At 42.9% G+C, this 27,721-nt stretch overlaps 1 protein-coding gene across 2 annotated transcripts; it reads left to right on the top strand.

Annotated features, from left to right (window-relative positions):
• Positions 1-918: 918 nt before the first annotated feature.
• FAM240B (family with sequence similarity 240 member B) lies at positions 919-26,786 on the top strand. Of its 2 annotated transcripts, none has more exons than NM_001394922.1 (3): positions 919-1,030; positions 17,050-17,195; positions 26,183-26,786. In NM_001394922.1, the coding sequence occupies exons 2-3, from the start codon at positions 17,053-17,055 to the stop codon at positions 26,274-26,276; spliced, it is 237 nt and encodes a 78-aa protein (NP_001381851.1). In that variant the 5' UTR covers positions 919-1,030; positions 17,050-17,052; the 3' UTR covers positions 26,277-26,786. The 2 variants fall into 2 exon arrangements, with proteins under 2 accessions (NP_001381851.1, NP_001373740.1); NM_001386811.1 differs by lacking the exon at positions 919-1,030 and adding an exon at positions 15,571-15,722.
• Positions 26,787-27,721: the final 935 nt, after the last annotated feature.

Here is a 27,721-nt window from a genome sequence, read left to right as displayed (position 1 = left end):
TGACGGTTTCAGAATTAACTCCTCTCTTTCCTTACCAAAAAAAAAAATTTCATCTCTAAAATTTGGTTCTGCTATTAAATAAGGCATCCAGCTTAATGTAAAGGGGCTTATTAAAACACTTTCACAGACTCAACATTAAATATCACTTCAGCAGGATAACATCTGAACATCAATATTAGATGAGCTTGACATGTATAATGTAAGTTATAAATTTATACTCCACTGAACCAAGTAACGGGTGTGCAATTAGTAGCATAGTTAAAGGATTTGATAAAAACCAAAGCTATTTTTGTTATCAGATGAGTGAGGATTCTAAATGTTTTTCCTAAGGACAAAATGTGCTCCTCCATCATGGGATAAGAGCCACTCTAAAATGAGAAGTCGATCTCACTTGGATGCATTTTATTGGAAAACACTCACCGGGGTCAATTCCTGCTCCAACTGGTAGAGAACTCAGCAGACCATGATATGTCATCACCAGATTCCATTCAAGGATTAATGGCTCCAAAGAACCAGATGCCTCTCTAAGTCTTCCTGTAATGTTACACCCAAGTGTAACTCGTCCCACCATTCCAGTCCCCTTTACACACCAAGGTGCAGAGACTGGCTTTTCACAAGTCACAGGGGAATAGGGCACATGGATAATCCAGCCTCTGCTCTAAATCATCTCTCTTGGTTCAGGCCAAGTCATAGTACTTGTGGGACCTGCCAAAACAGAAGCTCGCCTTCTCTGGGGAGGGTGGGGTAGTACGAGATGGGATTTGTTTAGAGCCATCTCTCACCACGAGGGAAGGCTACAATGTCCCTGGAAAGATATTGTCTGGTTCTGGTACTAATTTGGCTCAAATGACCTTGAAAGGTTAAGGGATTTCTGTAACTCCTCCACTCCTTATATAGGGGCTGCAACAATGTGATTTCAGGACAGCATCTGTGGCCTTCCTGAGCCGGACCTGAGGAATCAAGAGCAGGCCCGGGAGTCTTGCCCTCCTTTGCACCCTAGCCGGGTATCACCTGCAAATTCATCTTTAAGGTACAGTACATTGAGCTTGTGTTGTCAAGTGTGGGAACATCTTGCAACTTGGGCTGAAAATTGAAACAGACATCACCCCTTATATGTGTGTCCTTTATTGACCACTTGAATTCATTTTCTCTTCACCTTGAACACCTACGCTGTACCAGTTGGGAATAACAGATGGGCCAGTAGATTTTTTTCCATCTCTGATGTTTTTCCATCTTTTCCTAAATGTCAATGATGCAGAAATTTCATGTTAAAGAGTGTGGAAAAAGCAAGAAATTCGGGTAAATCTCACAGAGCAAGGCTTTTTGGAGATTAACCAAAATAAAGATATGTCTCATGTTGGTTGATGGATAATTTAGTCCCAAGGAAATGTTCATTGTAGATGCTGGATCATGGAAGCTTCTCAGGAAGCTGATGGTGGGGTGATTAATCATGAATTTGGGGTTTTTACTTGACTAACCTGAGACCTGGGAAATTCAACTGTAGAATTCCCTTTCGTCTGAGTTGATACAGTTGACTCTTCCCTAGCCCCTCATCAGATAGACTCAAGTGCATGAGCCTCACACAAAGTCAAGCTTCAATAAATGTTATTTGATTAAATTGATATTTAATTTTTATTATAAAAGTGAGTTCTAGCACTCTTTAAGTGTAAGTTAATTAGAAAAGTAAACTTAAGAACTGCTGTTGGAATTATGACTTTTCCAAATTGGTAACATTTTACTGAAAATAGAACTAATCCTCTCAAGAGATGTACACTGTAGAAAAAACTACTTTTGCTGGGGGTGGGGGGGGATGCAGAGAAACAGAATTGCTTATTTATCGAAGAACAGTCTCCTTTTGCTAAAGCCTAATTATTGATATTTGCCCTTCACATATGTGCAAAGCAACTAGATACCCTCATTTGAAGGTGAAAAAACTGAAACACAAAGCCCCTGTAATTTTGAAGATACAGATTATTCCCTTGAACTTGAGGCTGATGATTTTTTCCTGACTATTAGAGCCAGATGGACCTCAATGAACCTGTAGATCAAACACCTCAACTCACAGATGAGAAGACTTACGTATCTTTTCCAAACTCTTTTAAAAAAAATAACTATTCAAAAAAGTGAATGAAATTCATAAAATAAAAAACATCAAAATGTATTTTAGAAATAACTGTATGTTAGTATTAATATGGTAACTCTAAGCCAAATATAGCATTCAAAGCAAATAGGAGAAACAAATTTTAATTGACCATTTAAAATAACTATCTACAGTTAGGACTTTGAACATTTTTTTTTTTTACTTATCTCAAACTATGTATATGTCCTATTAGCATAAGAATGCAATGAAACTGATTAATGTTTATGTTTATTTAAATTATAATTATTTTTTATTTTTGATGCAAAATTGAACTGAGAAATGTATTGGTTACTTCTCTATGGGCCCTGCCATGACTCATCAATTCATTAATTCAGCACGGTATTTTTTTGAGTTAGAAAAGCCAATTGTTTTCCAGGGTCTGTCTTAAGGTGGTCCATTCAGATATGTTCTCCTGAGTCCAAGACCTAAACCTGTGCTTGTCTTTTCATTAAGAGGTGAATACATTGACAGCCCATACTGTTATGTCATTGAGACTGAAAGGACCTCTACAGAAGAAGTTCTGCTAAGTCCACAAACATTCCAACACTTCCGTGACAGCAGAAGGCAATATGGAATTATGCTGTAAACATTTCAGGGTACCTGGACTTTGACCTGCAATTATACTTCTAGGAGTTTATGCTACAGATGTACTTACAGATGTGAACAAAACATGATTTACTCTGGAATTTTTTGTAATAGACCCAAGCAGGAATTAATTCAAATGTCCATCCATGCTAGAATGGTTAATTATGGCATATCCATAAACAGATTACTACACAACCATGAAAAACAATGTATGCTGACAAGCAAATATTTTCTTAGTTGAAAAAGGCAAAATGCAAAACAGTGTTTATTGTATGGCCCTGCTTGCAAAAACAATATTTTGTACACATACGTACGCATATATATGCTTCCAATAAGATGGAAATACAAATATGACATCATTAACAGTGGGTGTCTTTGGGAAGTGTTGCTGACTGCAGTAAAGTAAAATGGGAAACACTTCTTTATTTCATATCCTTCAGTGCTTTTTGAAATATTTTACCATGTGCACAAAACGACGTTCACATTTTTAAAAACAGAGTCTTAAAGGAGCATCTTTGCTAACAGTGTAAAACTTTGTAACTCTTGGCCGGGAGCAGTGGCTCACGCTTGTAATCCCAGAACTTTGGGAGGCCGAGGCGGGCGGATCACGAGGTCAGGATATTGAGACCATCCTGGCTAACACGGTGAAACCCCGTCTCTACTAAAAAATACAAAAAAATTAGCCGGGTGTGGCGGCGGGCGCCTGTAGTCCCAGCTACTCAGGAGGCTGAGGCAGGAGAATGGCGTGAACCCGGGAGGCGGAGCTTGCAGTAAGCCAAGATTGCGCCACTGCACTCCAGCCTGGGCAACAGAGCGAGACTCCTTCTCAAAAAACAAACAAACAAACACCTTTTTAGGGTGAGACCACTACTACACTCAGAGTCTCTCGCTATACTCAAGAGTATTTTTTAGTAGAGACGGGGTTTCACCCTGTTGGCCAGGATGGTCTCGATCTCCTGACCTCGTGATCCGCCCGCCTTGGCCTCCCAAAATGCCGGGATTACAGGCGTGAGCCACTGCGCCCGGCCAAAACTTTGTTAACTCTTTGACCAAATTATGCTGGGGATTTTCTTTGAATAAATGATGGCATGCAGTAATTTCCATGAGCATCCCAAATATGTAGACCATCCCAAGAAAAGGGAAACAAAGGGAGAAGCAGCCTAAGAGAGGGAAGCCGAAGCCCCTAGGAGCCCCCTGCTCTTTGCTTCCCTGGGCGCTTCCCTCCACACCTTCCCGAGGGTGCCGAGTGTGCCGTTCTTCCAGATGCCTAACTGCGTCCTCCGGGGGCTGTTCCATTTAGACCTGGCTGCCTCTCTGGGGTGCCTCAAATTTCTGAGGAGTTACACTTGATTGATGGAAAGCACACAGTGTGGGGCAGGAATGTGGGACATCCACCCCACAATTCTATTCTCACTCAACAGGATGACAGAGATCACTCATGAGCCTTCGTTCCAGGTAGTCCATTTCTAAAAGTAAACAATGTTTCTGAAAACGCAGCTATTTTGGGAAGTCAGTTCCTGGCTAGAGCGCACTCTTAAGAAATATACATAGCCCGTTTCCGGTTCAGGAAAAAAGTAACATTCATTAGTGAAGGCCAAATAGCCACTGGACTGGCAGTTTGGTGAAGCAGAGGGGAGAAACAATATGTTAGCCAATTTTTGTATTTTAGCCACCTTGCCTTTTTAAAAGCTTTTAATAGGAGCAGAATATAACATTTTCTAGAGAAGTAATTGCTTTTAGCTCTAAATTCTTTGGAGAATTTTGACTGGCAAGTGGCATGAGGGGATGACAGGTTCTTTGTCCACTGAGCACACTGTGTGAAGGGGACCATTTTTTAAAAAAATTATTTTATTTAAGAGCGGAGTCTCACTCTGCCACCCAAGCTAGAGTGCTGTGGCACGATTTCAGCCCACTGCAAGCTCCGCCTCCCCAGTTCAAGCGATTCTCCTGCCTCAGCCTCCCGAGTAGCTGGGATTACAGGCATGGGGCACCATGCCTGGCTAATTTTTGTATTTTTAGTAGAGATGGGATTTCACTGTGTTGGCCAGGCTGGTCTCGAACTCCTGATCTCAGGTGATCCACCTGCTTCAGCCTCCCAAAGTGCTGAGATTACTGGCTTGAGCCACCGCACCGGGCCAAGGGCACCATATTAAGTAAGGTCCTTGCCCCACAGTAGTTAAGGGTCTAGTTGAAGGGACAAGATTATGGGGTCAAAGCCCAAGAGAAAAGAGACCTGCCTCGGCTCCTGGTCCCAATCCAAACAGGCATAGAGGCAAACCCAGGAGCATCTCTGTGCATGGCAGAATGAGCTTAAGGACCTCCCAGTTCCCTTCTAGTCACAATTAAGTGACTAGACATCAAATTGAACAGCCTGGTTGTGACCAATAAAACTGCAGTGGTTAACAGTAACCGGGGAGGGGTGGTGCTTTCTCTAATTGCTTTCACTTTGTTTTATTTCGACTCTATGTGCACCCAGTGTATGTTTCTCCAGGAAGCTAAGGCATAGTTAGCTACATGGTCCATGGGGAACTCAGAAGTTTTCTCTATTAATCCATATGGACCTCAAAAACTAGTGACCCAAAGGCCAAGTCCAGCCAACAGACATATTCTGATGCTCTGCACAGAGCTTTGAAATGTCTGTAAATTATCATCAACATTTAAAAATAAAGAAATTACATAATGTTTTAAAAATCAGATTTCCAGCTTCTTTTGAAAAACTTGAATATCAGGTAACTCTGGGACCATGCCCCATGGGCAATAGTTGCTTGGAGTTGAGTGGCAGTGTCTGTTTGAAACAAGCCATGCATTCAAGAATTTGCCACAGAGCCTTCTAAACACACCAGGACTCCACAGGCTTCCGAGCTTGTGGCCTCTGACCTATCAGTAATCTACATAAGGATATAAATTAGGCAGTCCAGGATTTTATTAAGCACTTATTGTGTCAGGCAAAACATTTTTCACAGCAGCCTTTTCCACTGAAAACTGGTTAATTGGGAAAGTACATGTTGTTCCATTTTACAGATGAGAAAACAGAAACTTAGTTCAAGTAACTTGCCCTGTAAAGAGTGTGGGGGGGTCTCCTAACTCCTAGTCCTGGACACATGACACAGGGCTAAACAGCAGGACGCTGCTGGCTCCAGGACGGAATATCTCTTTGTGCACTGAAAATGTTCCTCAGGCAAACAATGCTCCTTAATTCCTGTCTGCTGATGGTGTCAGGAAGATGCATGTGCTTTTTACTTTTTATTTCAAAATAATTCTAGATTTAGAGAAAGTTACAAAGATAGTACAGAGTGTTCCCATATACCTGTCACCTAGCTTTCTCTAATATTAACATCTTACGTAGCCATGGTACATTTATCAAAACAATAAAATTAGCATTGGTACAATAAAATTTACTGCAGAATTTATCAGATTCAGTCTTCCACTACTTATTGTCTGTTTTTCCTGTTCCAGGATTCAATCCAGGATGCCACGTTGCATTTATTGGTGTATATATCTATCAATCATATCTCCTTATTCTCCTCCAATCTGTGACCGTTTCTCAGTCTTTATCTTTCATGACCTTGACACTTCTAAATGAACAGTGTTCACATATTTTGTAAAATATTCCAGAATTTGAGCTAGTCTTCAGTTTTCTCATGAATAGACAGCATTCTGGTGTTGGGAGAAGTGCATCATAGAGTCAGCGTGTCACATCATGTCACATCAAGGGACACATGATATCCACAATACTTATTAGTAGCGCTGAGAGCCTTAACCACACTTATTTAAGGGGGTATTTGTTTCTCCACTGTAAAGTGACTACTTTCCCCTCGGTCACCAAGTCATCCCAGACTGAAGGGGAGGGGGACTTAACTCCACCTTCTAGAGAGAGGGGAGTATCAGACAATTTGTGATCGTATGTTAAAACCACCACAGTAATTATTAAATTTTTAGAGACATATCTTTGATGTCATGCAAGCATTGTGTTCCTCCTTAAAATGTCATCCACTCATTTTTACCACTGATCAATGGATTCTGCCTGCAATAATTATTACTGTGGTGTTCTCATGGTGATTTTCTCTTTTCCTCATTCTTTCTACACTTATTCACTGGAATTCTTCTGAAAGTAATAGTTGTTTTTTCTCCTCCATTTGTTTATTTCAATAATTTCTATCAATTTGAATTCATTCTTTGGGTTGTAACTAACATCATGTTGTTTATTTTGTTGTGCATATTGTTCCCTCTTTGGATATTGAGAACTCTCCAGTTGACTAATTCTGCAATGCCCTTCACCTATTTTTTTAAGCCTCTGTTACTTTGTGACACTACAAAATGTGTTCAGGGTTTATTTACAGAGATTGGGGCTCTGCATAAGAAGTTGTGAGGGGGAGGGCAATAAATGGAAGAGAAACAAAGTAAATAGCAATTTTTCTCTTGAAAGGAGATAAAAGTAGTGCTTACTTTTTAACATTCATTTGGCAGTAATTTCAAAATTACAGAAAAAATAATTCAAAGAATTCCTCTATAGCATCAGCCAGATGCACCTATCATCACCATTTACCTTGCTTATCATTTGCCTTGTCAATCTATATCTTTTCTAAATCACATGAGAGAAGTTGACGCATCATAATCTTTCCCCTCTAAATGCTTCAGTGGCTACCTCCCAAGAACACAGTCATCTTCTTACATAATTACAGCACACTCATCAACTTTGGGAACTCCATAACACTGATGCAATCCTGTAATTGTCCGTGTTCCAGTTTTGTCCATTGATTCAATACTGACCTTTACAGCATTTTGAAATCTAGTTCTTGAACAGATGATGAAATCTAGTTCTTTTTTTTTTTTTTTTTTTTTTTTGTTTGAAACGGAGTCTCACTCTGTAGCCCAGGCTGGAGTGCAGTGGCGTGATCTCGGCTCACTGCAAGCTCTCCCTCCCAGGTTCACGCCATTCTCCTGCCTCAGCCTCCCGAATAGCTGGGACTACAGGCGCTCGCCACCATGCCCAGCTAATCTTTTGTATTTTTAGTAGAGATGGGGTTTCACCGTGTTAGCCAGGATGGTCTCGATCTCCTGACCTCGTGATCCGTCTGCCTTAGCCTCCCAAAGTGCTGGGATTACAGGCGTGAGCCACTGCGCCCGGCCGAAATCTAATTCTTGAACTAGACTGATGTTTATGAGCCTACTCATCATGATCCCTGGAGTGGTACCTATCACTCCTCTACTGGGTGAGGTTCCTATTTGATTTAGTCAGCAAGGCTCCCTGAGCCCACTCACAACCTGGCAGGATTGAGCACGCAGAATGGACCTGGATGGATCCAAGCGAGACCCTTGCAGAGCATCTTAGAATAATTTTAGTCTATGATGACAGATGCTAACTAGTCTTTATTTTTCTAGGGCACACGAACTTTTCCCTAAATGAAGGAGGGAAGTGGCTCAAACTGTGGGGGGTGAAGACAGGACTTTTGGCATCAGACATTGTGGGTTCACAGCCCAGTATCAGCACTGACTGATTCTGTGACTTAGACAAGAATTTAAACCTTATTACCCCTGGCTTCTTGTCTGGTTACAGGGAAAATAATAAGATTTATTTCCCAGAGCTCTTAATATCATTAAGTGAGATAATTTTAAGATCATATTAGCAATTGCCAAATGTGATTCATTGTTCACTGTCACTTCTGTGATGTCAGCACCCAATGAATAGACATTCTGGGTGCTGTGAAATCAGCAGGTCTGGACTCCTGGCTCTCCCCATCATTAGCTCTGGAGCTTGGGGAAAGTCAACCTCTCAGATTCACTTTCTCGCTCACGAATACAGGAATAGTAAAATCTAGCATAATATGCTGAGGATTAAATGAGATGGCATTTGGTACTGTCTGCAATGCAGGTTGCTAATAGAAATATAGATAATGATGATGAGACACATTTAATATTGAGCAGATACTATGTTAAGTACTTTTCATGCTCCAATGTCTCATTTAATTCTAAGACCAATGCATTTTTCATGTGATAAAAGAAAGCTTCATAATGGTCATATGGACTAAAAGTCACAGGGACTTCTCTCATAATTGTGTGTCCCTCTTTCATGACTTGGTGTCACTGCAGTGAATTCAGGTAAGCTCTGAGGGAATAACAGGGCTGAGTTATTGTGGACACGTCCAGTATAAGCTTTTTTCTCCTATGTAAGTCCTTTTTTAGTTAAAACTCCAAGCTACCCAAGAACTCAGTCATATTGCCCAGACGATGTTGTATTTCCCCTGAGCCTCCTCCTAAGACTCAAATATACTGCCGGCAAAATCTGAGGTGGCTTTGAAGGATGTTAATTATAAGGAGATTGTGCAGAGGGACTCAAGACTGAAATTCAAGTAGCCTGATGGAATTTTGGAGGGGAAGTTAAAAAGAAAATGTCTGTAATCCCAGCACTTTGGGAGGCCGAGACGGGCGGATCACGAGGTCAGGAGTTCGAGACCAGCCTGACCAACATGCTGAAACCCCATCTCTACTAAAAACAAAAAAAATTAGCCGGATATGGTGGCACGTGCCTATAATCCCAGCTACTCAGGAGGCTGAGGCAGGAGAATTGCTTGAACCCTGGAGGCGGAGGTTACAGTGAGCAGAGATCGAGCCACTGAACTCCAGCCTGGGTGACAGAGGGAGATGCTGTCAAAAAAAAAAAAAAAAAGAAGAAGAAAGAGAGAGGGAGGGAGGGAGAGAGAAAGAGGGAGAGAGAAAGAAAAAGAAAATGTTTTCTGAAAAGGTGTTAAGCCAAGAAACTAAGGAGAGCACTCCCACATTGCACTCCAGCTTCCATCTGAGAAGGTGAAAGAGGAACGGGAGGAAGCTCAATCTGCCCTCTGTCCAGTGGGGCCTGAAGGTGGGGTGGGAGGAGAAACCCGTCCAAATGCATACGGGCCACAGTCAGGTGGAGCCATCTTAGCTCCCAGACCTAGAAACTTTGGACCTAAAGGTATTTTCACCTTGGGTGAAAAAGACCACCTGAGTGGAAATGGAGTGACAGTGAGTCCCCTGCACCTGTGGAAGCAGAATCTCCATGTGAGGGGGCTAAACAAACACGTTTGGTGCTGGTGTCAGAGGGAGTCTAGTTTTTGTTTGTTTGTTTATCCTTACCATGACCCACTTGAAACTGGCCACAGCGAGCACTTCGACAGAAAGTGCGGAGAGGAAAAGGGATGTGTGTCTTGATGTGATGCGCAGAGAATCATCTTGGGAGAAAGTTAATCTAGTTCTGCTTTGAGAAAGCAGTGATGACTTGCACATTGCTCTCAACAGATTTAACTGGATGCCTGCTTTCTCGGTATCCAGCTGTTGTCATGAGCCGCCATCTCTCTGTCCCGTGGCTGGGTGGTTTGCTGGTGATGACACGGGCTTGGGAGTTGGGTTTGGTTTAAATCTTAGCTCTATCACCATCAACAAGGTGACTTCGGGCAGTGGCTTGCCTCTTTGTACGTCCTCTGTAAAATGAGGATAAGAAGACGCTTGTTGTGGGAATTGAAGGTGAGATGTAGAGCACTTTGAAGAATAAAAGGCATTCCATAAGCACTCAATAAAGAGCATAAAAATAAGCCAGAGACCACAGACCTGCAGCCCACCAGCCAGTAGGCAAAGATACTGTGGGCAGTTTTGTCTGACCACTTAGTGGGGGCAGACCTGCTCCATTTCTGAACTCACTTCCACGCCCTGTCGTTGCAGGGCTGAGTTTCATTGGCCAAAACCAATGCATTTCCCCCCACTGCCTATACTTTAAAAAGGAGAACTATTGCCCTCTACCCATGAGTTTATAAAAACTGGGGAAACAAAAAGATAAATGCAGTAAACCTGATTTTTAGAGGTGGGAGTCAGAAGCAGATAATATTCCTAAGTGTTTATTATAAAAATAACCAGAATAACTCAAGTATGTGGCCTTCTGGACACTACAGTTATTTAAATTTCCTGCTCCTGCTTTTTGAGCCCCTGGGGAATGGAAGACAACACAGTTATCTGGGTTCTAAGAAAAATAAATGATCTTATATTCTGAGAGAATCTCAGGTTTAGAGGGAATTTAAAAGACATCAAGGCCGAGCGCTGTGGGCTCACACCTGTAATCCCAGCACTTTGGGAGGCCGAGGCAGGCGGATCACGAGGTCAAGAGACTGAGACCATCCTGGTCAAAGTGGTGAAACCCTGTCTCTACTAAAAATACAAAAATTACCTGGGTGTGGTGGTGTGCACCTGTAATTCCAGCTACTCAGCAGGCTAAGGCAGGAGAATTGCTTGAACCCGGGAGGCGGAGGTTGCAGTGAGCCGAGATCGAGCCACTGCACTCCAGCCTGGCGACAAAGCAAGACTCCGTCTCAACAACAACAAAAAGACATCAAGAGCACATACACGCTCCCCTGAAAAGTCTCTTCTCTTCCATCTGCATACACATGGGATGAAAGTAGCAAGTGGAAACTTAGAAGGCACGTGAGTGTGCACCTCTGAAATTGAGTTTATAAACAAAAATCAATTGCACAACAATAGAATGGAGACACCTGAGTTTGAAAAGTTGCTCATGTAAAAAATAGGAGCTTAATCTTACAGATCTTTAGAAGTGGCTTAGGAGGGTTCAGGTACCTAATGGGTTTATGTGTCTGCACATTGCTTAGTATTTCTTATTTCTGTGACAATAAAACCCTACTGGTCCATCCCACAGGAGATCACAGCGGCTTTCCCTTCTTCCCGACCACACAGAGAGAACAACTTGAGAAAGCAGCGCCTTTCCACTCTCATTTGAGCCCCGACGGGGGCACCACCATATGCATATGGCATAGAGCTAATGATTGTCTCTGCCTGGGCCAGGTGCAGAGGCAGAGAGAGCCACTGTTAGTGCCTAGGTTTTCCATCAATACCGCCAGGGAAATGTAAACATCTTTCATTTCCTGTTTCCTGCCTTATTTTGGTGTTTTCCTAAAAATGCTTTTCTAAAATTGCTATCAATTCTGTTCAAAGAGGGCCATACCAGCTACAGTGAGCCTGGTAAATGGGAGCAATAAATATAAAACAAGTTTTTTAAAAGTGGAAGGAAGAAGATGGCACAGCTCATCTCAAACAAAATGCACTTTCTTTTACAGAAGTTCTTGCACCTGCTGAAGTTCAGATTCACCAGCAGTTTTCAGCAAAACAAGCAGTGAGGCTGTGAAATAACATGGAGGGGTTGAGGCCAAGAGTCAGCACAGTGGCAACTGTCAATTTTAGTAAGACAGTCACTCCTTAAACATGTTCAGCATCACTCAGTAAATGTGATTATAGGGCCTGACCACAGAGAGCCCACAAATATAACATCCTAAGTGATGTAAGGGTGAAACTCATCACCAAGAGCTTTGCTAAAGGCTTCACTGGACGTGGTCCAGCACTGGGTCTGGGACAAGACGGGAAGCCTCTTATCCCCATGATCTAAGGCTTTCTAATTCTTACAGCCCAGCAACAGAGATAAATAAGCCTTCAATATGAGCTGAGTCAATAAGAAGCAAAGCATTTGATATCACGTATAAACTAAAGACAAGGAGACTGTATTTAGGTGGTGGTTCAAATTCAGTTAGCACTTTTGATGCTTGCCAGGGATCAGGAGATGCATTGTGAGTCCCCTGAACAAGCATGTGGCATGTGGGGAGGGGCATTTGGGGAATGAATGGTGGGCTGTGTTGGGGGCACTTTCCTGTATGTTACCACACTTCATCTCCACTTCATGGCTAAGCAAAGGGGCTCCGAGCAAGTGAAGGGCTTTCTTGCTCAAAGTCACAACAGTGCAAGTCCTCCACTGAGCTTTCTCTCCATCCTGGTTGTCAGGATGCAGCCTCCTGGCCTGACAGGGGAGGTAGGGATGCAGCTGTGTTTCGCAGGCAGGACAGCTGTGTCTACATGACCCCTAGTGAGTGGGCTGTGGCTTGGTGAAGAACTCCAATCCCGGTTCCTGCTGGAATGACAGCAATAGCGAGCCTGAACAGCCAGAGTGGTATCTGCATGCTTGGGTGCAGAAGCAGGATAGGGGGCTGCCCCATGAGACAGCGTAGGAAGGAGGAAAGCATAGAGAAAGCAAAATAGTTCAGGGTGCCCTGCAGCGAGAGCACAGGGAGGAGGTTTCGAGAAAAGCTAAGGAAGAAAGACATAGGTTCTACCTGCAGATAGAGAATGCATCCACTAGGAGGGGCAGGTAGGTAGCCCTCTGACTGCATCCAGCCAAACGCCATGTTTTCTTTGGCCAGTGTGGTGTTGGACCCTTTTGGAATGCATGTCTTGAAGCAGAGCACGTGCCCTTCAAGACCTAGTGCCACTGCTCCCAGTGGCTTCAGTCCTTTGGGATGCTTATGGATCCCTGAAGACGTCTGAGTTCATGTCCCCTCCTAAGTCCTTCCAAAGTTCATGCCCACTACTCTCAAGCTACTCTATGAAAACAGAGACCCTATAAGTGTTTTTTGATCAAAAAGGAATGAGAAGCAGAGCTGGCATGCATCAGATACTTCATAGCCTGATTTCCTTTGGGTTCACCCTAATTTTTTTTTTTTTTTTTTTGAGACCGAGTCTTGCTCTGTTGCTCAGACTGGAGTGCAGTGGCGCTGCCTCAGCTCACTGCAATCTCCACCTCCCAGGTTCAAGCGATTCTCCTGCCTCAGCCTCCTGAGTAGCTGGGATTACAGGCATGTGCCACCACGCCCAGCTAATTTTTTGGTTTTTTTTTTGTTTTTTTTTTTTGTTTTTTTTAGTAGAGACGGGGTTTCATCGTGTAAGCCAGGATGGTCACCATCTCTTGACCTCGTGATCCGCCTGCCTTGGCCTCTCAAAGTGCTGGGATTACAGGTGTGAGCCACCACGTCTGGCCCAGGTTCACCCTGAATTAATTTACTCCTTGGGTGTGTAGACAACACCCTGCTTTCAGCTATTTTCTGTAACCCAGTTCATGACTGTGCAGCTACAGTATCTGCTAGAGTAAATCCTCCTTCCATATCCAAACCACACCTTCCTCCCAAACAGAGAGGATGTAAAATGCCGTGCGGATGTGAGCAGGCTGTGTTCCTGCACGGGCCTCTCTTGTCTTCATAATGAATTTCTTTAGAATAAAATGTTCATTATCAATTTTGAGAAAAGAAGAGCATTTCAATGAGTACCTGTTTGACCAAGCTATCCTTTTTCTAAATACCGGGTACCCAATATGAACTTGCAATCTTTAGGGGTATTTTGTAATTTAAAAAAATCTGTGAAAATATTATGCATATAAAAGGCATTACCTTCTGCATACTTACATTGCAAATTCTGCATTTAACACCTTCCTCGCAGTTAAAAGCAAGCACTGTCTTCTTATCTTGAACTTGTACATCAGGAAAATGAGATGCCTTAGATGTTCCTGGAGCCTGAACAAAACCCACAGGAAACCTAATTGCTAGAGGAGGGCATGCATTCCACACCCTGGTTCTATGAATGAAAATGTAAAATCAGATGTATTTTGTTAGTGGCTTCTCTTTCAATGTCCAGTGGCTAGAAATTTATTAGAATTCTGTGCACTGAATGATTATCCTGGGAAAGAAAATAAGTGAGAAATATGCCCTTGAAAGACAGGAGCGTGTGCTCGGGTCAGGCTGGAGGACAGTCCCAGGGTGCAGAGAGAAATTCCAGAGGCTCCACGGCGCAGCTCCAGCCTGGCAGACTGCAGAAGGTGACTGGATGTGAGCGTTTCCCTTACCCAGAAAGCAGAAAAGCAATCCACGCTCAGACCCTCAATGTCTGAGATACTCCAAAGGGGCCGGCTCTTGGAAGGGGGTCATTTAACTTGAATAACTGAACACCCATTAAATGCTTCAGTGTATTAAAAACAAAATACGACTGAGCTTCTGTTCAAGAAGCTCTACCGCTCTAAGTCACAAACACCCCAGCGTCCATCAGTCACAGGAAAGGGTAAGGTCACTGAGCACCTGAAGTGGGAGAGGGCACCTAAGTCAAACTTCCTCTTTCCAGGGAGTGTCCGGGAGCGGTGGGAAGAGTGCAGGCTCCAGGTCCTGACAGCCACACTGCTCTCAAGCTGTGGAACCTCAACACTGTCTATCAATGCCTCTGAAAATCAGCTCCTTTATGTGCAAAATGAGATGTGAATTAGCTCGATTTAGCTATTCCACAATGTGTACACATTTCAAAACGTCATCTTGTACACAATTATATACAGCTTTTATTTGTCAATTTAAAAATATATTTAAAAATTATTTTTAAATGTTTAATAAAAAATAAAAATGTTTTAAATAAGAAAACAATGGCCCTCACGTAGCTGTGTGTGACCAGTGAGAACCACCCGCAGAGCAGCTGGCACTGAGGAAAATGTTCTCTCCCTCTTCTGTCCCTGCATCTCCTTCAATCGTCCCTACCCTGACCTGCCTCGCTGCCACCACCCACCCACATGCTCAGCAGCATGTAGTCTAGGGCAGCTCTGACTACAGAAATAAGCAGGTGATTGGAAGATGGGTCCAGGAGGAAGAACACCGGAAGCAGATTCTTAAAATCTTTATCGAATACCCAAAGCTGTTTTCAGTTTCAAGCTTCTTCTTACCTCAGGACACTTACACATGCTGTTCCCTTCAGGTGGGAAGCTCCTGCTGCCCCTCTGATGAGAGCATCATATTCTACTATTATACATATAAGTGTAATACAAATAAAATACAAATTATTCCATATCATAAATATAAAATAATAAATGTTATTTCTTCTCTGAAGCTTTTTTTTTTTTTTTTTTTTGAGTTGGAGTCTTGCTCTGTCGCCCAGGCTGGAGTGCAGTGGCGCGATCTCCGCTCACTGCAAGCTCCGCCTCCCAGGTTCACGCCGTTCTCCTGCCTCAGCCTCCCGAGTAGCTGGGACAACAGGGGCCCGCCACCACACCCGGCTAATTTTTTTGTATTTTTGTAGAGACAGGGTTTCACTGTGTTAGGCAGGATGGTCTTGATCTCCTGACCTCGTGATCCGCCCGCCTCGGCCTCCCGAAGTGCTGGGATTACAGGTAGGAGCCACCGTGGCCAGCCTCTTCTCTGAAGCTGTTTCTAAACTCCTCTCTCGCCCCTAATCCTTTGGGTGCCCCAGGAAAACCCAGCTTGCACGGGATCATAGGGACTTTGTAGCTGTGAAGTAAGGGACCAGGTCTCTTTCCAGTCTCCAGCCAGGGCTGAAGCACTTCTCTGAGCAGGAGCTGCCAGCAGGCAGGGAGGGATCTGTTGTGCAGGCATTTGTATCTGCCTGCCTGATGGCGCTCCTAAGATCTGGAAAGTGAGCCACGTTAAGGTAAAAAGCAAACAATTTTGGGTTACATATGTGTCCCTTCATAGGATGTATATACATATGCTGAACGAGCTTGCCCCGGACATACCCATTTCCAAATGCAGTGGGCACTTCGTGTGAGCAAAGAAGATCTGTAGAGCAAAAAGCACTGGCTCTGAAGATGGACAGACCTAGGTTCAAATGCCAGCTCCTGCATTTTCAGTGATGGCCACAAGCAGATTCTCTCTCTAGTTTCCTCATCTGAACAGTGAGTGGAGACAGAGCTGTAGTGAGCATCAGATGGCACAGTGTGTAAAGCGTGCCCGGCCCACATCGGGTCCTCGATAGACAGCAGAGGCTCTTGCTATTCTGTGAGGAAGGATGGAAAGAGCGCACTGTTTACTGGGTGTTGGCCATTTGTCATGCATGAGGCTTAGCACTTTTGTTGATGATGTGCATCTTACACATGCAGACACACACACAACTGAAGTAACTCTTAAAGGATAGTTTTTTAAGAAAGCTAAAATAATGAATCATTCAAATATAAAATGAAGATTATCAAATATTTTATTTAACTTATAAATAAGGAAAAAACTAGTAAGATATTACAACTGAGTCAAAAGAAAATTTTAAAAATACATCAATGAAAAAATTGATATTCGTAGGTAGAGCAATTGCATTCCACTGCACAGAATTTCTTTGGATTTCTCTGTTCATGAACATTTTCATTTCTATAATTTTTCTATAATTTACAAAATTGTCAAATAGCTCAAAGACAGTGAAAAGGGCAAGCCTTAAAATCAGATAATTTGGAAGAGTTACCAGATACTCTTTTTGGTTTTGTCTAATTCAAAATTTTTCATGATGTTTTCTGGCATAGCTATTATTATTCCCATTTGCAGTTGAGGAAACAGACTCAGAATACAAGTGTGTGATGTGTCTACAGTCACCAAAAAAAAAAAAAAAAACAAGTGTAAATGGCAGTGTCTACATGCAAGCTCATCTTTCTATCACTCCAAACCTAGAGTGGCTTTATTTAAAGAAGTGGGATTTGCTTTACTTGTATATTTCAGGGGATGAACAATCAATACATCCGTCGAGAAGTCTTCTGCTGTGGAACTTGTCATGAGCTCAAAAGCTTCTGGGAAAAAGAAATTAGCAAACAGACTTTTTACCGAGAACTGGAGGAAGATCGTCAAGAAAGAAGCGCCCTGAAAAAGTATGTGAATTGTTTCTCTGTTATTACTTTTAAAGTGGATTTTCCAGAGATATGCCAGATATGAAGACTCAGGTAGGGAATTCTCTTTGGTACCCACTGCTGTAGGAAGGTACATATGCTGTACATGAAAGCATAAATTCTGTGCAGTGACAGGAGGAAATGCGAGGTCTCATGAGGAAATGGGAGCAAGACTTGGAAGGAAGAAGTTTACTGTGCTCACAGGTCCCAGAGGAGGGGGTCACACATGCATGTCCCACAGGGCCAGAGGGGAAGCTCCTGGTTTTGGTCAGGTGGGAGAAGAGCTAGCGGGAACCTCTTAGCCAGAGTCTTTATTGGGGTTTCTATGAAAAAGGCAAGGCAGTGCAGAGTGTATAATTCAGGACCAGTTAGTTTGAGTCATTCTGTCAGGATTTGGGCTATAGGAGTTGTTTCCAGTTGCCTGGTTCCTGGCCCCAGGATAATCAAGTGCAGGGGAAATAGTGGCTCAGTGTATGAGAGTTAGACAAGGAGGTGGCTAGGGCTACAGACTTGAGATCGGTTGGTCTGGAGATTGGCCAAGCCTTTTGCTATCTCTAAAATAGGGCTAGTCCTAGCAGGGGCAGTCTCTCCCTAGCCAGCAAACTTTGTAAGATGTCAAAACATCATAAAACACAGAAAATAGAAAATATCACCAATACATCCACTCATTCAGTCTTGAGAGTATACCAGGGTTTTTCCACCTCAGCGCTATTGACATTCAGGGCCAAATAATTCTTTGTTGTGGAGGGTTGTTCTGTGCTAAGATGTTTATCAGCATCCTTGGCCTCAATACATTAGCTATCTGTAAGATCTCCACACACATTTTGAGAACCAAGGCCACCTGGAGGGCAAAGTCATCCCCGATTGAGAACCAATGACTTACAGATATGGACAAGACTTTTTTTAATATAAAAAATGAAGTTACGTTATTTATGTCTTGATAAACTAAAACAATCTGTTCGCTACCCTTTCTCTGTTACAATCTTTAGCACATGTGGTTACACTAAATTTCAGGGTTAGGTTGACGGATGTGTATATGTGCGAAAAACTAGTGTAATAAAAAGATCCCTCATCTGGGATAATATGTACCAAGATTCTTGGGAGAAGGGTAATGTGGTCTTTCCCTCACTGGCAAGTGAACTTGTTGTTCTATTCCAAGGAGTCTGCTGAGAGATGAAGTTTTGCTTATGTGGGAAGACGTGTCATATGTGTCAACCTCAGTCTGAATGCCAGGGCCAGCACCTACCCTCACACGTCAAATGCCTTGGAGCAGAAGGATCAGCTCAATTCTTCTGGGCCTGTCCGGGTTCTCTGTCCCTAAAATGGGAGAGGCTAGCCAGGCTGTCTGTTTGCTGGGACGTCTGCTCACAGGTGGAATGGTAGTCATGTGTTCTCCACAGCAGAGCACTGTGATTCCATGTTTCTGTGCCTGCCTGGTGCATGCTGAGCTGAAAACATGAGTAATTCACATGAGTAAAACTCAAAGTTAATTTTTAAGACAAAATCCTTTCTTAAGCCAGAGAGGACCCTTCTTCCATAAGCAGAGAAGAGCTCTGCCAACATTCCAGCCACACTCCTGGTGGCCTAATGGACAAAACTAGGCCTTCCTACATGCTAGAAGAGTCTCATGTTAGAGCATCCAATCCTGTAGATTCTCAGGGAAGTGAAGAGAGTCCGTTGTGTGGTCCCCACCATCTTCCGTCCCCCAGTCCTGGCCCACTAGCCCACTGGAAGCCAGATCCCATCTTGAGCCCTGTGCTGTATCTTCCCTTCCAGAAAGCAAAACTTGCAATATGATCTTATTTTTGTCAAGATAGTAAAACTTTTATATATATAGTATGTAAAGGAAAAAGATTAGAAGAAAATACACTAAGATACTGAAAGTGGTTATTTTTGACTAATAAGATGACAGATTGTGTGTGTGTGTGTGTTCTCCTATTTTTTCCAAAGTTTCTGTAATGATCCTGTGCCATTTTTAAGTAAAAAATAAGTTATAAAAATGGCAATCAATTGCAAATTGTCCATAGAACAAAATGCATTAATTCTCCAGGCTCCCATGTTCCCTAGAAATGACCCCCTCTTCTAAAGTTTGGAGCAGTTTCCTCTAACTTCTATGACTGAAAGAATAAATCTTTGTGCTCATCATGAAACATTTCATCAGTCTCCCCCAACGAAGTGTTTGAAGACATGATTGCAGCAGCCACAGGACTCAGAACCAGGATACCACCAGGAGCTGGGGAAGCGAGGCTCCCTGTGGTCTCTCCTTCAGCCTCGAGGCCACCCACCAGAGCCATCACGCTTATCAATTGTGAATTAAAATTCTCAAAAGCTTTTTTCATTTGGCAAACAATGAATTAAAACCTTGTGGTTTTACTGTTATTTTTGCTGAACAAAAAAGCAAAGCAAACACATACACAACTCACATGAACCAAGTTTCACAAAAAATCTAGAATTTTTAAATTAGAACGAAAATGTCAGAGCCCCCCTTTGCTTAAATCCCCGCTGAGCTGAGCAAATAGTTTGAAACATTGTCCTAACAAAGTAATAATCTCCCAACGTGTACTTGCAGACCAATGAATATCATAGACCCCTGAGTCCCTATTCCACCCCTGTGGGCTCTGCCTCCCCCAACTCCACTATACGCAAATGCCCACCTTCCAATGTACACATACACACACACACGTAACACACAGACCTTTTTAAATTCTACCCTCCATTTATAAAAGGCAAATCCAATCCACTATGCAATCAAGAAATGTTCTAAATGTATGAGTGAGCAGTAGAGACCAAAAAACCTCCAAATTTCCCACCAAATCCCTTTGTTGACAGGAGAACAAATCCAGTAATGTCTTACGTTCCTCTCCCTCTGCTGGGCTAATCTGGCAAGATGTTGTTCCAGAGCTGGGTGAAGTGTGTTAAGCACACACCTGTGGGTTCAGTGACTCAGAGAAGGAGGCTGGGGATGGAGACAATCCATTTTTCCTAGGAACTGATATGCTGTATCTGGCAGAGGTCCCAGGGTGAGATCACAAGACAAAGTGGGTGGCCCCACAACTGGGTACTTCTTTAATTTCTCTGAGTCTGGATAGAGAAAAGCAACAGAACATGGATGGGTTAGTCCCCCAAAGAAGTTAGAAAGTGTTTGCAAACAACTGATTGAGGCAATTCGAGAAGAGTCGAGTGTCGTATAGGCATGATGTGTGACCATACCTCCTGGTTTGCCTGGGGCAGTTTGGATGGACACCTATCAGTTTGGTATAATCATTGACTACAGTCTCTTTTATTTTCAAAAGTATCTCAGTTTAGATAATAAGTCTTATGGACACCTAAGTGCCCAGCCAGTAGCTATAACTAAGAAACTGGACAGTGCTTATATGAACTACTAATGTTTTCGGGCAAGAAGTGTGGTCTTCAAAATTCTGCTTCATAATTTAGCAGATCTCAACAGTGTCAGGTAGACATTAAATCTGGGGGTGCATCAAGCCTCACCCCAAGACCACTCACCTCTCTCTTGCTCTGAAGGCTGCCTATCAATTGTATCAATTAGGATATTTTCAGCTTCAGGCAATAAGATATTGGACTCAGAATCTACTAGCCAGATGAAATCGCTATTTCAAACTTTTTATAAGACAAGAGTTAGTCTACAAAGAATAAGCAGGGAGAAAATTTTTAGTTAGATTTTTCATTCAAACTGAAAGGATAGGAAATGCAGCTGGTAAACTGAGTTGGTCAAATGAGTATGCCAAAGCTTGTCAGCCTGTGTGAACACACTGAGCTCTGCCCCTTGACCAGAGATGCAGCCAGTGAGCTGCAGGCCACAGGGAAACCAGACTCAGGCCCGCCTCTTCCCACTATGAAAAAACAATTGTCAAGGCATGCTTCCTGCCTACGAGAATGGAGTAGGTGTAGCAAAATTGTCATCTGACTTTTCATACTAAAGTAAAAGCACAGAGATCAAGATTGGAGTACTGAGATCTGAAATGGGAGATCAAGAATTCAGTCAACTCTAAATTCCTTGAGGACAGGGAGTATTCGATTGCTCTTCTTTACATAGTGTGGTAGCCACAGAAGTGCCCCACTCAGAGGACCTTCAGGATCATTTGCTTTGGGAGCATAGTTGACTGATAGTGCCGGCCGCTCCCTTTCTGGATCCACCATCGTGTATGAGCCAAAGCCATACTTCCCCCAGGCCGCTCCCAGCCAATTACTGAGGGTGGCAGGGGTGCTAGTTCCAGGCAATTCCTGCATGACATGGCTCCCCTGTGGGCAGCATTTGCTCAGGGACTCCCCACCAGCCCAGCTCAAGCTTCCTCAGAACTGTGCTGTGGGTTGGGTTCTTCCTACTCAATCGTTACTTCCCCCCTCTCTTTTCACAGATGTCAGACCAGCGCTGAAGTCTAAAGGCTATTCTTGACTGCTTCAGTTTCCTCCCTTCTTTACTTTTCGCAGGTGTTTCCCACAAATCTGCTTCTTGGAGGACCCAAACTGACACATATGTTTAGTGCCTAGCATAAGATAGGAAAAATATAATTATAGATCCAGTTGTCCTCACCCACTCCAGGAATAACATTATGATTATGACTTAAGAGTCTCACAAATATCATCCTGCTTTCTAGGTAAGCCCCGGACTTATCAAGGAGAAACTGTGCTCCTAGGAATTAACAACTCCTCCACAAATCAGAAGAATCTAGAACAAGAAATAGTAAACATTACTTGGTCTCAATTTGAAAAGTGAGGCCAATATTTCTAGGCTGAAGGTAAAAATGTTCTCTCTGAGCTTTAATGCCAGTTGTATGGCTCTTCTGATGTATCTGAATTTGTAAGTCAAGTTTTAAGCATTATCTTCCTCCTATGGACCTTCCCTACTTCAAAAGGAAAGCCCTACATATAAATTTTTATTCACCGGTTTACTGAGAACCCCAAAATAAACAGAAGCAACACAGTAATGAAAGATATCAACCAAAAAGGAGCAGCAAAGTGTCTGAATATTCATAAAACAAGATTTAAAAGACATTTGGATAGATGGAGGCCTGAATTCCTTACCATTTAGCAATAGTGTATAACTGCTGTGAAAAGTGAATTAATATATTATGAACCCCAGATTCCTATTTTTTTTCCTAGAATGAATGCATCATACCAAATGTGTTAACTCAGGTCCTCTAAGAAGCAGAGGGCAAGAGGAGAGTAGATGTGTATGAGATTTTTTGGAGGAAGCACCTGTGAATGAAAAATTGGAAGGAAACTGGTGTGCTGATGAATGTTTACCTGGCTCTCTGGAGGAAAAATGTATTGTGTATATACATACATATGTTTACAAGTCTGACTGATATGAAAGCTGTGTAGCACACAATTTATAAATAATAAGAAAATGCACAATGCCCATTATAAATCCCATATAGTCACCTGATTCTCACAGAGAATAATAATGAAATGTGATTTTATTCATTTTTGCCAACCTCTTGTATCTGGGCCAACTGGTGGTTGCAATTCAACCATAATTTGTAAAAATCATAGAACAAGTAAACATTTGATTACTATCCAATTCAGAAAAGAAGTCATGTCGTTGAAGATAATAGTTTTCTAGTACTGAAAGAATATTTCCTCAATTTTTTTTGCTATTTATAATGTATTAGCTACAGACATGACACACTTCTAAATTTAATCCATGTTAACATTTTGTCCATCATTTTTTTAAGTCGAGACCAAGGGTCATAAAAGGAACCAGTCAGTAAATATTTTTGGCTTTTTAGGTCATATGATCTGCATTGCAGCTCTTCAGCTGTGCCACTGTAGTGTGAAAGCAGCCATAGCCATATGTAAATAAAATACACAAACAAGTGGGCAGGGCTATATTTCAATAAAACCTTATTTACAAAATGGGTAGCTGGCCAGATTTGGCCTTAGGGCCAAACCTTAGTTGAGACAATGAACAAAATGATACATCAAGTCATGTATGATTTATAGTGTTTGCCAACTTCCATGATGTAAATATTCCCACCACAGTCTATTTCAAGCTACCAATGAGATGTCAATGAAGACAAGTTCAGAAGAGGTGTTTGGTAGTAACACCTCATCATGTAGTACTTTCACCATAACAGGTGAAATAGACCTAAGTAATCTGAAGAGCATACATTGTAAAATGTAGTAAAATAATTAGGAAGTAATGAATTTTGCATAGTCAGTGTCCTTGTTTTAAAATAACTTAATTATAAGTTTATATAATTTACTTTTAATAATGTCTACATTTAAAAATTAGCTTATAAAATTCCTGAAAAGTTAATAATTGGTTGTCATGAACTGTTATGAGCCAGCGTCAGCACACCACGAAGCCAGAGAAATGAAGGAAAGTCATCAGACTGTGATGCGGGTCTGACCTCCATGAAGGAGAAAAAGAAGGAGTTAGGATTGGGAAGACAGCAGGGCAGCCCTGATAAGTTTTGGCCAGAGTAATGGGGAGTCAGTGAGCCAAAGCCACCTGTTAAAGAAGTTCTGCAGTTTGCTGGGACGGGCCTGCATTAATACCACGGCCATGCCCAGTCACTGTCTTAGAGCAGCCTGCAAGAAGTTTGGCCTTGGCATTGATCTGAGGCAAATACAAAGGGAAAGAAGCTGCAGCCACCAGTCAACTTTGCTCCTTACATCTGAGTGGCGCATTTTCATGGCCACCACACCCAGTAAAAGTTACAGTCCCTTTTGTTAATGAATGAATCCACATTAGGTTAAGTGCATCAAGTTCAATGAAACACCCAGGCAGCAGCCCTTATTAGTGAGCTTTAAAAGATCCTAGGTGACAAAAGTCATGTATTTGGTGGCAGATTTATTTACAGAGGCTTTCAGAGATGTGTAACAAAAAAAGCTTGTGAACCTGGGTATTCTCCAGGTTGGAGAGGTGGATTACAAATTAAAATATGGGATAAATACTTAATAACCATGATACAGAAATATAATTATGAAAATTACTAATCTGTGGATATCAAAGTAGAAGGTCATATAAGCTCAATAAATCATCACTTTTTTTAATTTTTGAGACGGTGTCTCCGTCTGTCGCCCAAGCTGGAGTGCAGTGGTGCGATCTCGGCTCACTGCAACCTCCGCCTCCCAAGTTCAAGCGATTCTCCTGCCTCAGCCTCCCGGGTAGCTGGGATTACAGGCGCCCGCCACCATGCCCAGCTAATTTATTTTTTTTTGTTTTTAGTAGAGGTGGGGTTTCACCATGTTAGCCAGGATGGTCTCGATCTTCTGACCTGGTGATCTGCCCGCCTTGGCCTCCCAGAATGAATGTCTTGACGGTACTGCCCCATGTGCCTCATTCTCTAACAGTATTTCAACTTTCAGGCCCTGCTTGCTCATGTGTTTATGCAACAGGCACCACCCAGCAACAGGCCCGTGTGCCAGATTCTTTCCATTCTTTCCTGGGCCCATAATTAAGCAGAGTTGTAAGTAAGAAGTTTTCCTGAAGCCAATCTGGTAATAGGTGCCTACAGCCTTCAAAATATTTATACCTTCTAAGTGGTAATATTTCACCTCTGGGAGCCACTCCGAGGAAAATAGACTGGGATGTAGAAAGAGTATTAAGTATTATACTCGTTGTGGCGTTATTTATAAGAATGAAAGATGAAAGTGAATCAATTTTTAAAATTCTTTTCTGTTTATTCTGATTTTCCTGTAATATGTGCATATTATCTAAACCCAGGACCTCAGAGCAGGACTCCAGAATCTTCCCATTCTTTCCCGGGCCCATAATCGAGCAGAGTTTAATACCATCCCCTTGGAAGTTAGGAATTAGATATATGAATTTGAGGGGAAACACACACGTTCAGACTGTAGCAGATTCCAAGCCCATTGTTTGAATATAGATACATAATGTTCCAGCACCATTTGTTAAAAAGCCTATCCATCCTCCATTGAGTAGCCTTAACCCCTTGTGAAAAATCAACTGGCCACATTACTGCGTATTTATTTCTGGACTTTCTATTATATTCTGTGCTAATAATCTATTTGTTTGTTCACTGCCTTGATGATGGTAACTTTATGTTAAGCTTCAAATCAGGTAGTGTGAGTCCTTCAACAGTGTTCTTCAAACTTCTTAAGGCTAATCTACTTTTGCCTTTCCATATAGAAGTTGGAATCATCTTCTTGATAGCTACAGAAAATTCTTGCTGGGATTTTGATTGGCATTACATGGAATCCACCTATCAATTTGGGAAGGATTACATTTGGGATAAAGCCATCTATCCATAGACTATGCCCTTGTGACTATTCATTTTTTTCTTTATTCATTTGTAAAAAGCATTGGTTTGTTGTTGTTGTTTTTGAGACGGAGTCTTGCTCTGTCGCCCAGGCTGGAGTGCAGTGGCACGATCTCAGCTCACTGCAAGCTCCACCTCCCAGGTTCACGCCATTCTCCCATCTCAGCCTCCCCAGTAGCTGGAACTGCAGGCACCGCCACCACGCCCAGCTAATTGTGTTTTTGTATTGTTAGTAGAGACGGGGTGTCGCCGTGTTAGCCAGGATGGTCTCGATCTCCTGACCTCGTGCGCGATCCGCCCGCCTCGGCCTCCCAAAGTGCTGGGATTACATGCGTGAGCCGCCATGCCTAGCAGCATTGGGTTTTTAAAATTATTACTTTACTTTAAGTTCCAGGATACATGTGCAGAATGTATAGGAATACATGTGTCATGGTGGTTTGCTGCACCTATCAACCCGTCATCTAGGTTTTAAGCCCCGCATGCATTAGGTATTTGTCCTAATGCTCTCCCTCCCCTTAACATAGGAAAAGAAAACCAAACACCACATGTTCTCACTCATAAGTGGGAGTTGAACAATGAGAACACATGGACACAGGGAGGGGAACACACAATGGGTTTCTTTTAAAAATATCTTGGAGAAGAAAAACAAAGCCACGGTTCAGTCGACCAGCACAGCTGGAGACAAATGCACTGAGCATGTGCACGGTTTCCCCTCCGCAGACTCAGAGAAGAATGGAGGCAGAGGCTGGAGAGGAGGCTGAGGATGCTGGACAACCCTGTTGAGAAGGAAAAGCCGGCACACACCGCGGACTGAGCTCTGCCTGCCTCACCGACTTCAAAGATAGCAAGCGACCACTTTTCTAGGGGAAAAAAACTAACACTCAAGTTGTGCTGATTTACTAAACAGGACGCTCTCTATTTGTGCTTCCATTTGCTAGGGGATTTACATGTGAAACCTCCCCCAGTGCTAATGGGAGTTATTATCCTGCTCAATCCCCTCCGCACAGAGGACAGGATGACCGCAAGTGGGATAGGACGCTTGGGCTATTTAATAAAAGAGCTCTTGGAATTAGCACTCTCCAGGTCTCACAGACCCATGTAGCCTAGTATATTTCCACATTTCCTTGTCATTTTGAAATGTTTCAAGTCTTGAGACATTTGAAGTGTTTTCTCTAAGCTTACCGAGGGCAATGACCTTGATGAAAATTTGGCTTTGCCAGGTGTCCTGGAAAAAGAGTCATAAAATCTTGTCCTTCTTTCCCCGCTTTTTGTGAACACAGAAATGTAACTGCTTGCAGAAATAAAGCTATTATTATAAAAAGAATTTAACAATATGGCTTGAAAAGGAACTCAATTTATTTCTTCCTGTAAATGTGTTGCTTTTTCTTCATAAACGGGTTTAATTAGAAAACTGCAATGAGAGCATGCGGATAAACTTGGTTGCCGCGCCCTCAACGTCAAGTCCCCCATGTGGACGCCCTTCACACTTGTTGAGTTAGTTCTCTGGTGGCGCAGCAGGTGTCCAGACACGTTCTGGAATTTTAAGTCACCCTCACGTTAGCCTCCTCTCAGGCCCCAAACACGATCACAGGGCAGGTGGCCTTCTATGGGGGCAGTAATGATGGGGCTTCCACTGCCCGGGTTCCTCCCTGCAAGGCTACAGCAGAGGGATGTAAACGGGGAGCTCTGGGGGGCCAAGAAGCACAGACGGCCAGAGAGACACAGAGGGTGCAGTGGGGGCATAGTTTGAAACGGTGCTGGACAGGTTCCCAGCCCTCGCAGTTGAGATGCGCTGGCATAACTGCTTCCTTCTGCTCCCACAGGAAATAAACGACCTCATTTCAGCTGACAGAGCCACGGGTGGCAAGAAGGGTTGGAGAAGTGTTCTACCCTGCCCACCGTGATGAGATCCAGGGTGCCCTACTGGTCCCTGCCATGGGCTCTTACTCAATTCAGATGCAACAAATTAGCCGCAAACTACAGCTGGGAAAATCTGCACAAAGTTCAGAAACGGTGGAGACTAATAAAGAAATAGACCTGTCAGGGCGCGGTGGCTCATGCCTGTAATCCCAGCATTTTGGGAGGCCGAGGCTGGCAGATCAGGAGGTCAGGAGATCCAGACCATCCTGGCTAACACGGTGAAACCCTGTGTCTACTAAAAATACAAAAAATTAGCCAGGCGTCGTGGCGGGTGCCTGTAGTCCCAGCTACTCGGAAGGCTGAGGCAGGAGAATAGCGTAAGTAAACCCGGGAGGCGGA

This window comes from Homo sapiens, chromosome 9, assembly GCF_000001405.40.
Source record: "Homo sapiens chromosome 9, GRCh38.p14 Primary Assembly".
NCBI classification, from domain to species: Eukaryota; Metazoa; Chordata; class Mammalia; order Primates; family Hominidae; genus Homo; species Homo sapiens.
This window is presented reverse-complemented; position numbering and strand designations above follow the sequence as displayed.

Bases quoted from the DNA above. Each gene is read 5' to 3' on its own strand.
- FAM240B (NM_001394922.1), top strand. From the start codon at position 17,053: ATGAACAATCAATACATCCGTCGAGAAGTCTTCTGCTGTGGAACTTGT. The intron at 17,196-26,182 runs GTATGTGAATTG...TCCCCTCCGCAG, and splicing joins GAAAGAAGCGCCCTGAAAAA to ACTCAGAGAAGAATGGAGGC.